At 35.9% G+C, this 15,085-nt stretch overlaps 1 protein-coding gene across 29 annotated transcripts in view; it reads left to right on the forward strand.

The window, feature by feature from the left end:
• The window catches only part of CCDC171 (coiled-coil domain containing 171), a 556,042-nt gene that overhangs the window by 403,637 nt on the left and 137,320 nt on the right, over window positions 1-15,085 (forward strand). Inside the window, exon 26 of one of the 29 annotated variants that reach the window (XM_017014436.3) lies at window positions 14,285-15,065. The exons of the other annotated variants lie outside the window; for them this stretch is intronic. Coding sequence (XP_016869925.1) covers window positions 14,285-14,341 — 57 coding nt within the window. The 3' untranslated portion in view covers window positions 14,342-15,065. Of the gene's footprint in view, window positions 1-14,284; window positions 15,066-15,085 lie in introns of those variants that run through there. 29 annotated transcript variants of the gene reach the window in all.

Raw genomic sequence — 15,085 nt, forward strand, 5'->3', positions numbered from 1 at the left:
TCCTTTTCTTTATATAACATTGATTTTTAAAATAACTCAAATTTTCAGAGTGCAAATAAATGAAAACTGATTATATGCTTAGAAGTGAACATATTGGGAGGTGAGAAAAAATGTGCAAAATACTTAGATCATTTTTCAAAAAAGGATTAAAATTTTATTTCTTAGCCAAACATATATTCAAGTACAATGTATTTCATCTGAAAGCCTCAGTAACATGACAAAAATTTACAGAATAATTATTGTTGAGTTTGTCCATAAGTGCATGTTTATGAGTAGAGGCTGAATTCCATACTTTTGAATGTGCGTCGACCTTTCCGCTTTTACTTGTCAGATGCCCCTTTTTTAATGCCAGGTAGTCTTTATACAATACTATTATTAATGATGTAATGGAAAAATTAACTATAAATTGGTTGTTAATATTAAGTTTTGGTAGTCTAAAAATCAAATCTTTTCTCTCAGTAGGGCCGAAAGAACTGACTTGAAATTTAACTTTAATCATCTAGAAGTCTGTTTTTTTTTTTTTGAGGAGCTTAATGTATCACTATAATATTTCCTAGATTCCTGTCTAATTCAAGATATGGAATGACTAAACTGTAGCCATACTAGTTCTGAGCATACAGGCAAGAAGAGAAGTCGTTAAACATCTTGCTGTGTGTGAGCAGTTCGAGGGCAGGCAGACACCATGCACCTTGACCACCTATTATGAAGCTTTTTGCTGCCGTGTCAAGTGAAAGTGAGTTAATTGGGTGAAGCTGTGGAGCATGTTAGGGGCCTGGTAAAGGGTTGCTGTCTGACAGCTGAATGTCAGCGAAAGCCAGTCAAGTGTGGCTGAGAGACAGAGACCTGTCACAAAGTTCCCGCAGACTGGAACACAGTTAGGAAGCTGAAATATGGTTCCGTCTCACTTTCTCCCTCATTGAATCCAAGCACCTTAAAAGATTTTACACTGTATATGTCAACTCTTGTTCTCTAAGCTGTTTCCCCCTAACTGTCCTGCATTCAAATGATTGAACAAAAGATGCTAATGTTGAGCAAAGTGAATGTAAATTCCCTCTTTTCCCCTTTTCTGCCCAAGCAGATAGACATTCAACTCAAAGGAAACTTTGAAGGTTTACATCAAACAATTAGATTTCTTCAAAATTTAGCTTATAACAGAATCTCTTTCTCAAGAGAGTATGAAAATTGACAATTAAAGCAGTAGAATAAGCAATGCATTTTCCTCTGATATAGAAAATCAAGCTTTAGGGAGCTAGGACTCCTGTCTGAATGTCTTGAGAATGGACACTGGCCAAGATAACTTTCCTCTTATCTTTTGTCATAGGCTTCTTTCTTTCTTTTTCTTAGTGGCCTAAGGTAAAATGCAATAATTATAGCCACCAGAAGAATAAAGATTAGCATAGAAAGGAACGGTAAGTTCCCTTCTGAAGCTTGAGACACTTCGAAAGGAGGAATTGAAGAAAGTTGGAATTAAAGAAAATGAAGTTAAACTCTGTGAAATAAAAATATTTGCAGAAAGAGGAGTTTAATATTAAAAGATGCCCTGTTCATTTTCTTTAGAATATGGATTAGAATAAGTCCATTAACTCACTCATCCATTCATTCATTCATTCATTCATTCATTCATTCATTCCTCAACAGGCAGGTGTATAGAGTACCTGCTCTGTACCTGTCACTGTGCAGGCCACTGGTAATACAGAAACAAGCAAACAAAATAGCCTGTGGCTTCAAGGAGTGAACACTCTAAGCCAGCACTATTCATTAGAACTTACTGTGATGATAGAAATATGGCTTTGGGGCACTTGGAATGTGGTTAGTGTGACTGAGGAACTGAACTTTAATCTTTAATTTAATTTTATATTAAATTTTAACTAATGTAAATTAAATAGCTACATGTGGCTACCATATTGAATAGTGCAGGTCTAAGCAAACATAAGACTGTGATACTGTGCTATTATAAAAGTGTGTATGGGGTGTTATAATAACACGGAGGTGAGGTATTATATTATATTATATTATATTATATTATATTATATTATATTATACAAGGTGACAGAGGCCAGGAAAAGTTTGGGGTAAAGGTGATACCTGAGGTAAGCTTTGACTAACAGTAGGAGTTAACGTGATGAAGAAGCCTCCTTCTAAATAGAAAGGGCAGCATGCAAAAGTGGCTCCAAGACAGGAGAAAGCAGGGCATGCTTCAGGATCAGCATTTTGATTAGTACAGGAGAGCAAAGCTGTTTTATGAGAAATTACGTTAATGCAATGGTAGTGTCCAAGAAGACTACCAGTCAAGTTATCCAAGGGGTCATAACAGAAGGTGTCACAGACCAAATTAGTATACCGAAATCACATGGTTTGTGGAATTAAACACACAGCAAAAAGCAAGAAGAGATATAGCAGGGAGCAAGCAGGGGGAAGGATCATAACCTGACTTCTTGGTTGTGCAGTGTTCATGTGCCCTGTCTCTCTCCACTGCCTCAGCCTTCTTCACTCTCTGTGAGTTTATGAGGATCAGGGTTGAAGTTTGAAACAGGGGGCTTGGAAGACCGAAGGTGCCTGAGGCCACTTACACACACTTGCTATCTAGGAGAGATGCAGGGACAAACATGCCTGGCCAATAGCTATAATTTGCCACTGAGGCTGCTGAATAGCTTTGTGTTTTATCTGCAGTTCTAGGGTCATTGTAAGGATGACATTAACTAAAGGTGGCATATCTCTACCTTACGATGTGGCCTTTCCATCCATTTCTATCTATAAAGTAACAGGTCTTACCATATGGATTCTGCCTATGTCCCACAAACTGCTTGCTAATTCATTATCTGTGCTTACTAATATTTCTTATGAGTTTCATCTATCCTATTTTTCTAGTCTTTAATCTCAAATTTGAATATTTTCAAATAGTAAGCAAACATACAGTAAAGAAGAGATGAAGTAGGAAACAGCGAAGTCTGAAGAGATGACTTGTTTACAAAAATAAAAGTATGTTTAGGCCAGAAAAAGTGAAAAGACAAATAACTGATGAAAAATATTTAGCAAAGAGCTTTGAAACCTGTGTCAAAATTATTATCTAGTAGACAACCTACTCCAAGCGCAGACTGCATTTCAAACAAGTCTAGGCCTTTTTGAAACACCATTGTGCGGACTCTAGAGAGTTAATCTGAATGAGGGCTCTGGCAGTTGGAGAAGGACTAGTGGAGATTTTATGGGCAGGCACCCAGAGAAGGAGATGTGAAGTGGAGAGAACGACCTAATGCCTTTCCTCCATGCAGACCTATGGACTGGCATTTGGACTCTTAGAAAAAGGGCCTACAGGTAGAAACTGAAAGAAATGTTCTGTGACAGATACTGCAAGGCACTGGGTTTCAGTCAGAGTTGTCACAGTTTTCAGATGACAGAAAGGGAAGGATGGGCACCCCAAATTTTTGTTAGAGCTATCACCCATATGACCTAGCAAGCCCCCTAATACATTGAAGGCAGACCCTGTTGGAGGGATTGCAGACACCAAGCAGCTCTTGATGGGGAATCCACAGGGGTGTTTGAGGCTTGTATGAGCAGGACAGGGAAGGACCAGGGTAACTTGACTCACTTGGGACTTTGTATCCACAGAATAATGAGGACAGGAAACTTCCAGTGCTATTGTGCATCAAAGCTTTTCCTATAAAAATAGCAATTATGTGGTTTCATAGTATTTCAACAGATTATAATTTAAGAAGAACTGGATCAGGATGAAGATTAGTTAAGGTCTAATAAATAATCCCCAAAACAGGGAATTTTTATTTGTTTAATTCACTTTTGTATTCCAGTACCTGGAACAGTATTTGGCACATCATAGGCACTTGATAGATATTTACTGAAAAAATAAATGAATAGAGCTAATTTAGGATACTAAGAGGGGATATGGGTTTAGGTATCTTTATGCATTATGCAAGCATAGGGAAAATTTATCATATGGAATTGATAATATAGGGAGTCAATTCCTGAAATAAAGCCTAGGGGTATATTATTTTGGAATTTTGTGTTTGCTATATTTTACTGTTACATAAGATGTTCTCCCTAGGGATGGATCTGGGTTGAGACTGCTGGAAATGATGTGGTTATATCAGAAATAACATTCCTGACTATCATGTAAAGGAAATGTCATTGCCAACTAAGTGATTTGTTTTAGAACATGTGCCCCAGTGCTTGTTGTGATTTGAAGGCATTCTGCAGATATGACCCCCAGATCACATGATTTGTCTTACATCTGAAGTACCTTTCTCTCCCTAAGAAATACATTCTTTTAACTGAAGATAGCCAGTCCCTCCAGAAAGGCCCAGCTATGGAACTGTTCAAAGGGTCCACAGCCCTGGGGAGTATAGAGCTTATACCATGGTCAGTGGGGAAATAAAGGCAGCTTGCAGCATTCCACGAAGAATTGCTAAGGATTTTAGGTGTGATATAATGGAACAATGAAGGAGCATGGCCTAAAACAGCAGTGGAAGGGAGGGGCATGCAAAAAAAAATGGGTTTCAAATTGCAAAATGAGAATTTAATGCTAAGTTTTTTGAGATGTGTGATTGACAGATACTTATATTGTTAGAAAGGTTTAGGAAAGTCATTTCTTTCAAACTACTTTAAATTCTAAATGATTCTTTCCTTCCTCTGCTCTTCTTTACCTGAGTGCCTGCTCAGTAATTCCACTCCTTGAAAAACATATTGCTACGAGGTCTAAGTTTATAGCTTCCAGATTATTACTAAATTTTTGACATTAAATAAAAAAGGTTTATAACTTTAAGAGGAAATTCTTCAGTAATGAAATAGTGGTCAGAAAACTTTTGCCTAATAGTTCCCAGAGAGAGTGTGACATGTGTACATTTTGACCACAGAAGTCGTAATTTGGCAGCTGGAAGTGCTATTTGGAGTAAAATGAAGGCACACAAGTTATAAGTAGCCACTCTGCATAAGGAGTTGCATTTGCGCAGAGTAGAGGAACAAATTACTCAGTGTCATTATTTGTGTAGGTGTTTACTCAATGTAAAACTGTAAATATGACTTAGATAACTGAAAACATTGAAATGAGAGTGTTCTTTGCTTGATCAAAATCTTTTCCAAACATGAAAAACACTTAAAGACCTATCCTCTGAGACCTTTAACTATCCAATTACATTTTCATTTTGACCACACATTTTAGAGCCATAACTATACTAAAATATATAGATGTATTTCAGTATATATAAATATGTATAGTTTCATTTTTTAATAAAGGGTTTTTAGCTATAAAAGTAAAACGTACTTACTGTAGGTAATTTGGAAAATACAAATCCTAATCCTAACTCAGAGAATAGAGAAAAAAACCCCAACAATTCCAATACCACAAAACAAGCACCATATGTAATTTTGTGTACCGTTTTTTCATGACGTAGTCTTGCCCTAGGGTCAGCAAATCTACATGCCACCTGTTTTTGTATGGCCTGTGAGCTAAGAATGGTTTTAATATTTTAAATAGTTATGGGAAAAAAGCAAAAGAATAATAACATATCATGACACATAAAATTTATGTGAAATTCAGATTTCACTGTCCATAAATAAAGTTATATTGGAACACAGCCATGCTCATTCATTTACATATCCTCGATGGCCGCTTATGTGCTACAACACAGGGGCTAATGCTTGTAACAGAAAACATATACCCTAGAAAGCATGAAATACTTATCTAGCTCTTTACAAAGGTCTGACCTTTGGTTAGACCCAAGCATTTGTCCATGTTATCCAAAAGTTTATAACTGTAAATTTTATAGCTACATAATTTTTCACCGCGTAGCTATAGCCTACTTAACTATGCTTCTGGTTGAATATGAGAGTATTTCTAATTTTTGTCTGTTATTATTAATATAAACTAATCATAAATGGAATTGTTGGATCAAATGGCATTAAGCATTTAAGACAGTTGCCCAATTATAGATCCAATGGTTCTATCAATTTATACAGTTACTAGCAATTTATGAATGCCTGCTTCACAATGCTTTCACTAACCTTTAGCATAATTTGTAATATTTAATTTTTACTGGCAATCAATGTCTTATTTTCCATTTTTGATTACTTGTGGGGGTTACCATTTTTTTCCCATTTATTTGTTACTTAGCTGTATTTTTGCTTTTGTGAACTGCCAGTTGATAACTTTCTCTCATGATTCAAATAATTTTAAAGATAAAAAATCATGGAAAGAAAAATTTAACCTTTCAAACCTTTTTTTTCTACCCAAACTCTAATTCAGTTCTTTTTTCCAAAGATTATTAAGTTTCTTTTGATTTCTTGTGATTCTTTTTTCCAGAAAAAATAGGGATAGATATGCATGTATGTGTGTTTATGCTTATTTTAAAATGTATATTACTATTTATATATATGTATATATATATACACATAAACACATGTATACATTTTGAACATGTTTTTTTCACTTGGATATATTTCTCTATCAGCCTTTACATATTTACCTCACGTTTAAAATAGTTGTATTATATGGTTGTCATACTTCACTTAAGTAGCCCTCTGTTCATAGACCTCTGGTTTTATTTTTAAAAAGTTTTGTTTAGCACCACATGTTCTCACTCATAGGTGGGAATTGAACAGTGAGAACACATGGACACAGGAAGGGGAACATCACACACCGGGGCCTGTTGTGGGGTGCGGGGAGCAGGGAGGGATAGCATTAGGAGATATACCTAATGTTAAATGATGGGTTACTGGGTGCAGCACACCATCATGGCACATGTATACATATGTAACAAACCTGCACGTTGTGCATGTGTACCCTAAAACTTAAAGTGTGTGAAAAAAAATCACTCTTAAAGTTAAAAAAAAAAAGTTTTGTTTATCTATCTAAAAATGCTTCAGTGAACATACCTGCATGCTCACCTTGGTGAACTCTTTTGAGTGTAGCCATAGAAGAAATGCCTAGCAGTGGAATTGCTAGGTCAAAGGAAGATACATTTAAATTTTTTGTCTTCCAGAAAGGTTGCAACAGCTTATGTCCCTAACTACATGGCATGAGTTTGCCTGATTCCCTCTTTTCAACAGTGGAGATCATCAGACATCTAAGTTTTTGCCCATTTGATATATGAAAAGTCATCTTTAATTGGGATGTGTTGCATTGTATTTCTTTACTTATGAATTAAGTTTAGCACCTTTTCGTATGTTTTTTGGTTATTATACTACTCTCTCCCCCAATCAGACATCTAATCTGTACATGAGGCAGAGGCTGGCAGTGGTTTCCTGGCATCTGTTTTCTCTTTCTTAGTAATAGAGCCTCTGAATGTTACCTGGGCTGCTCAGGAAACAAACAAACAGACAAACAAGCTACATTTCTCAGACCCTCTCTAAGCTAAATTAGTTATATGACCTAAGTTCTAGTCAATGGGATGTAAGTAAAAGTGTACAATTTTAGGAAGTGTCTGTAAACGGAAGCAGTGCCTCCTTCTTTGCTCCATCCTCCTTTCTTCTCGCTAGAATGCAGACATACTAGCTGGAACTTGAGCAGCCATTTTTGACCATGAGGTAAAAGCCATGTACTGAGCTGTGGAGCCCAAGATAGAAGCAGCCTGGATTCTTGATAACTTTATATTGCCCTATCAGAGGGAAATAAACTTTTATTTAAGCCAATGACATTTAGAGTTTTCTCTTACAACTGAACTCAGTCTTAATAAATATGCTACCCTCAGCCTATTTTCTAATTACATTATTTTAATTGATTTTCATGAGCCTTTTGTAAATTAAGAAAATTACTTGTATGGGGATTCTATGTGTTGCACATATTTTTACCAGTTTGTCATTTCAGACTTTCAGTGGCATTTTTCTATATGGTATGCTTGTTTTTATTTATTTGGTTTTTGTGTCTTTTTATATATTTGAGTGCATAAAGTTATTTATATTTTCAATTCTCTCGAATTGTTTGGGAATGTATGTTTCTAAGACAGAGGGGAAAATGCCCCTTTGCATTTTCTGGCCATTTCTGGCACTGTCTACCATCAGTTGTGTCAGGATTGTCAGGTCAGCAACAGACTGCAAGCACAAGGGTATGAAGAACACTGGGAAAAGAAAGAACAAAAGCCACCTGGGAGAATTCTTCAACTCTTTTTCTAACCTCAACCACATCAGGAAATCTAAACATCCTGGAGAAGAAAATGGGACATATTGTCTTGTCAGGCACAAGGTATCTTGAAGTAATTTAAAATTAAAGTTTAAATGTTCTCGTGTAATTTAATTAATTAATTATTTTTTGAGACAGAGTCTCACTCTTGTCACCCAGGCTGGAGTGCAATGGCGCGATCTCAGCTCACTGCAACCTCTGCCTCCTGGGTTCGAGCGATTCTCCTGCCTCAGCCTCCCGGGTAGCTGGGATTACAGGCACCCACCAGCATGCCTGGCTAATTTTTTGTATTTTTAAGCAGAGACGGGTTTTCACCATGTCGGTCAGGCTTGTCTCAAACTCGTGACTTCAGGTGATCTTCCAGCCTCGGCCTCCCAAAGTGCTGGGATTACAGGCGTGAGCTACCGTACCTGGCCTTAAGTGTTCTAGTGTAAGTTTAAACCTCAGTGCCTCATTTTGTCTCTGAATATAACAACATATAAGCTCCTTTGATGAAAGGGCTATAACTTTCATTTTTGTGTAAGTTCCATGAGATCTATGTATTTACTCCAGTAAGTACCACAGGCATTCAAATGTTAGACCACAATAAAATATGCTATCAAAATATAAACATTTCTTTTAGCCTCTAGCACAATCTATGTACTTTTATTTTCCATTTTCAGAGAGGTTTGTTGAGCCCTTATTTTGTTGATGAAATGCCTCTAGATACAAAATAAGCCTGAGGCTAGGCTATATCTTCTTTGGGCAACATGGTAAGGTAATGGTCAAGCGTATGAATAGGAGAGTCAGAGGAACCAAGATTCACATCCCTTTCTACCATTAGCAAGCTGTGCAACCTGTGGCAATTTATTCTGCTCTTTGAGCCCTAGTCTCTTCAACTGTAGAATGAAGATAATTGTAGTGCTTTCTGATTGAGTCACTGTGAGAATTCAGATAACGCCTGTAAAACTAAATCTAGCACAGTGCCTGACATAATGCTGAATACATGTTGGCTATAATTGTAAAGTTAGAATTCATATCATTTGAGAAGAGTGAAAAAGAGAAGGGAAGATATGCTACACATTTTTGTGTATATTATTCCATTTAATCCTCCTAACAGCCCTATGAGGGATTAGTCTGCCTCCTTTACAGATAAGGATAAAAGCTCACACAGGTTAAGTAACTTGTCAAGGATCACATAATTAGTAAATGGCAGAATGAAGTTTAGAACCTTAGTTCCTTCCACCTTCAAAGCCCGTATTCTTTCCATTAATCTTTGCTAAATCTAATTGCGACATAATCTGTATATGTGTGAAATAACAAAATAACAATAAAACACCAAGACCATGGAGTAATAATATAAGTCGTTTGTTCATTCACTCATTCATCATTTAGGAATCTTATTTAGTCCCAGATATTCTGCTAAGTGCTAGGGTACAAAGTCATGATTCCATCACACTAAGTGCTCATAGTTTTATAGCGGAAATATAAGGATATACAAATAAGTGAAAAAATAGTAAAATAAATGCTCATGAAGGAATGTAAAAATGAGATTGGATGTTACAGTTAGCTGTAGTTGGGGAAGGATGGGAAGAGGATCCAGAAAAGCCTTATGAAAGAGGCAGACCTTGACCAGAGTTTGAAACGTGGAGGACTCACCCAACAAAGAGCAGAATTGGACAGACTGGAGGGTGATGTGAACTATGGAATGTCCTATTTAGGGACTCACAAGTTCCATGTAACTGGCTTGCACAGTACAAGTGAGGAAATGGTAGATGAGGCTGGACAGGGAAGCCAAGAGCAAGGGCATAGGTATAGGGAAGCATGAAGAATCAAAACCATTGATCCAATCAATCTTCCACATCAAACGAGTAGCCAAGGCTGAATTAGAACCAGATAGAATGCTGAATGTCTGCCTGAGGACAGAGTTGTTGTGATGTGATTCAGGTTTCTTGTTAATATATTCTACCTCTTTTTTCTGATTTGTTTCTACCTGTATGGTTGTCCTTTTTAGATCTCTAGGCACACTGGGCCCTTAGGGTGTTTCCTAATGCAACTTCTTTGCATTTTTGCCATTAACTCACATTTCTTCCCATGCCTTGATGTCAGTAAGATAGTCAAACTAGTCTGTACTAAGGTTTAATGACTTACAGGGAGAAGAATGCATAAAATATTCCTACCAGCTTGTTATTGGTAGCTAAAAGTTAGAACTGGTAACTACCATATGAGAAATAAATATTGGATGGCATGATAGCAGATGTGTGTGTGTGTATATATATATATATATAACTGTGTATATTTATATGATGCATATATCAAGTATATGTGTGTGTGTATATTTATAAGGTGAATGTATGTTTTTATGTGTATATATATCTCAGATATAAAATAGAGTATTCCACAAGAGAAAACTATGTGATTTTTGCCAACTCTGGCTGTCTGTATAAACTACGGTGGCCTATGAGACCAGCATGACAACTGGAAAATTGACAGGTAGAATTTGGCTAACTCATCTGAAGTATTTAGAAGAAAGAAAACTTTGTGACACTGAGTATTGAGACTCTGGTAAGAGCACGTTAGGAACCAAAGTAGAAATGGCAAGGGAGCCTCACTGTAACACCCTCTTGTGGGTGCTTTGATTTCTTCATCTGTTTATGTGGAGCTGTGCAGACTACTTAAAAGCAGTCAATAATTTACAGGGCTTAAAACATCATCATGGAGTTTGAAGTAATGAAAAGAGTACTATAGAATTTAATTGAATGAAGCCACATCATCTAAATTGTGGCTAATCTTGTTATCTATTTGGCTTTATTTTAGAACAACGTGCAATGTGCAATATGTATTCTTTCCCCTTAAGAATGGTCTGTCTACATCCTCTCAAGTATTATATTCAGGAAACTGATTTCTGGGTTAATGTCCCTCAAAAAAGTTAGGGTTTATAGTATATTCTGTCACACGTGGAATTATGGCAGACCTGTAGAATTTCAAAGCTGGAAAGAGTCCAGCCCCTCATTTGGATGGACTAATTTACCTGCCCCAAATGACCCAGTCAGATTGTAAAAGAACTGTGAGGAGAAGCTAGAGTCCACTGATCTTCAGTCTAGTATTCTTTTAATCACACTATGTGCTTAGCATAATCTCCATGCAATACTACTAAGGCTTACTAAATCACATTTTTCCTCACTTTTTATAATACTAAATTCTAGAAGACTTAACTTGATCATAAATGTTACACAGGAGACAAATGGCTTAGTTTCAGAAGCCTTGGTCGGCAAAAAGGCTTTGACTTACAGACAATTTATTGGGTGGTTATTTTATTATTAGACTAATGCTTTATTTATTTATTTTTGTTTGAAAAACATTTGTAGAAAATTAAGATATTAAAGCCTTGAAAAATGGCTATTGAATGTGTCCAATTACTGTATTTCATAAGATTTTTAAAATGTAGAAATTTAGTAGACACATTTTGTATTGTGAATATGTATTTAGCTGATGGACTATAGCAGTTCAAATAGAATCATTTATAGCTTATTGAGTAAATAAAAGTGCTTCCATAAAGATTCACATGACGCCTAGCTTTTATTTAAGGTAACTAATTTCCTTTTGAAAAACTGCCTAAATTTAGATTTACATAAGAGACAGAACACCTCAGCAGTTTTAAAAGTAGTTTATATGACCATGGACTTTACAGATTTAAAATATAAGATTGGGTGGTGAACACTAACTTTTAATGTTCTCTGACAAAAAGTTATTTAACTGTCCTTTACTCTCTGTGTTACATTAAAATAGTACAAAAGTGTTACGTATTTCTGGATATTATTCTGGATATTTATAACAAGAAAAACCGGTCATATTTACTTGTATTTTAACATCACATTCTCAAATCAAAGTTTCACCAGAATTGTTGCTGGCTTTTTTTTTTTTTTTTTTTTTGAGACAGAGTCTTGCTCTGTTGCCCAGGCTGGAGTGCAGTGTGCAGTGGTGTGATCTTGGCTTACTGCAACCTCTGCCTCTGGATTCAAGCGATTCCCCTGCCTCAGCCTCCTGAGTAGCTGGGATTACAGGCGCCCGCCCAACTGATTTTTATATTTTTAGCAGAGACGAGGTTCCACCATGTTGGCCAGGCTGGTCTCCAATTCCTGACCTCAGGTGATCCACCCACCTCGGCCTCCCAAAGTGCTGGGATTACAAGTGTGAGCCACCATCCCCAGCCGGTGGCTTCTTTTTAAGCTTTTAAGTGACTTAAAATCAGACTTTACCTCATTTCATGAAAAAAGTTTTTTTCTAGCAGTACAGCAGATGATCCCAGTAGCAAAAGCAGTCATTTGTTTTCCTTTATACAAAAGTAACTCTGTTTACTTTCTAGAGACTATACTTTTGGGGGGTACAAGACTTTAAGGAAATCTCTCTGTCTCTCTTTTTCATCTCTGGAGATTCTTTAGATTATTTTCCATGTTTAGGACATAACGTCAGAAAATAGTGTGCAAAAAGTGAAACTAATTTGAAATACTAGGGAAATAACACCCCATTTCAAGGTTATTTAGTCAAAAATATTATATTGGATGAAAGGGTGCTTTCAGACGACATAGTGGAAAGTAGACATATTAGAAAAAGTAGGATGAGAAAAGGCAAAAGAGGGACCTCTTTGTAGGTTACCAAGATCTGTAGAATATTAAAGAGAAATGAGCAGTTAGTAGAGACTTTCCCTAAAGGACTGCCTTCCTAACTTTGTAATGTGTTAGGTTGATGGATTTGCAAGAACAAAAAGGGAAACTTTAAGTACAACATATAAGTTTGAGTAAATTATGCATATCACTAATATTGACAAAACAGGAATGGTTGGTCAGTTTGGCATAGTTACCTTTCTCTAAAACATCCAGAAGAAAATACCCCCAGAGGATATCTGACCTTCCTTGGACTGATTCTGCACACCCCTCTATTTTCCATACATAGTTTTCTTAGACCAGAACTTGAAGTATAAAGATGTATCAAAACAAACTTTTGAAGCCTTTTCTGACAATAAAATATTCTACTATAATAAAGAATACTGTGGCTATAACTATGTTTATTAAGAAGAAAATCAGGCCCCACCATTTCCTGCTCTTCCAGCATTCCCCTAACCCCCAGGCCTGGCAGAATGAGAAGTTAGTAGATGGCACTGTAATGTTTATAGCTGCAAAGTCAATCCAGTAATGACACTGCTAAAAAATGATTCTAGCAGCAGTAAAAATGCAGATGTGTACACCTCTAGCCTCTGATGTAATGAGATGCCTCTGTTCAGGTTCTGAGCTGAGATGATCAGGCCCAGCATTAAGGTTCTGCAAGCAAAACCTCATTAATACTACTAATCAGGGTCAACACACGATTTTGGAAGTTGTTTTCCTTCCACTGGGAAACCTTATCCTTCATAGAGCTATTTCAAGTGACCATTTTAGGTGTTTTCTAACTTCCAGTATAAAAAGAGATGATTTCCGTCAGCTATTGGCCTGCAGTAGAGTATCAGGAAATCAAAAGAACAAAGATCAAAGAAAATTGCTGAACTAGGTGTTAGATGCAGATATTGATTTTTTCTCCAGTTGTAGTTTTAAAAAAATCCACAAAAATGGTAACACATACAACAGTTGAATTTCTAATATGTTCCTAAAGCCAGTGATAAGCTTCCCTCTTGTTTTTACATGTAGCAACAATTTTGTATAACATGACATAATAAAGCACACCTTATAGTTTACATTATTTTGTTATCAAAACTGTAAGAGGATCTACTAAAAAGTTTTTTTTTTTTTAAAACCCTGCAATATAGAGTATGATTTTTAGTGGAGATACTTATAACCAGACTTGTTATTTCAGCAACATTTATTTTGTGGGAATCTGGAAAATTATGTCATACAATTGATCACTATTTTCCTGCCATCTTTAAATGTCATAATACTTACCTGCTTTACTGCTAAGACTTCTTCATGTTAAATATTAACTACTAGATACTGACGTCACTTAAGGCTTAAAGGAGCAGCTTTATCGAAATATTAATTCTACTGTCCAGTATTCCATGACTTTGTGGCATTTTTAATTTCCAACAATTTCTGGATACCATCAGTGTTCTCAAATATATGACAAATTATTTTCATTCCCTTATTTTGACATGTGATTTCTAAATACTTATAATAGTCTTTATCAAAACAGGGTGGTATCATGGACATAAAGATGGAAACAATAGAGACTGAGCACCAGGGACTATGAGAGTGGGAGAGGGTTGAAGAACTACCAGTCGGGGACTGTGCTCACCACCTGGCTGATGGGATCATTTGTACACCGTACCTCAGTGACTTAAATCAAGAATTACCCATGTAACAAATCTGCACGTGTACCCCTGAACCTAAAATAATAAAGTTGAAAGAAAAAACAGGGTGGTGGCATTATTATTAAAGTAAAGCCAAAGAGTTCTCATTAGAATTTTGTATCTTAGTATGCCATTTTCTAGAGGTCACTGGGATTGGCTTATTTTACTTTGTGCTACTTTTGTCAAATAAGTAAAATGGATAGATTTAAAAAACATAAATACTCATAGTTTATTTTCTAAGTAATCTAATCTTCCATATTATATGGCACTTATTTTATAGCATAATGAAATAAATGCTATTAGCATCGGTTTCTGTAAATTGCCAATGGACTGAAGTCAAGGTAAAAATCCCTGATTGTATTGACTCTCTGATATAATAACTTTATAAAAAGTTTTACACAAAGATTTAGTGTTTAGACAAATTCTTGTTGTCTAGAAAAGTTCAGAAAAGAGTAAATAAGGGATTCAGTCACACTTGATAAATAATTTACTATTTATATATTCTCATGTAGATTATTGAAATAGTAGTTTCCATCTCATTTTTATATTATAATGATTATTAGTCTACTTGCCTGTTTATGGTTTTAGGCTCTATTTGAGAGTTTTCAACTCTATGTTTATTATTTTTTTCTTTTGTATGTCAC

This window comes from Homo sapiens, chromosome 9, assembly GCF_000001405.40.
Source record: "Homo sapiens chromosome 9, GRCh38.p14 Primary Assembly".
Taxonomy (NCBI): domain Eukaryota; kingdom Metazoa; phylum Chordata; class Mammalia; order Primates; family Hominidae; genus Homo; species Homo sapiens.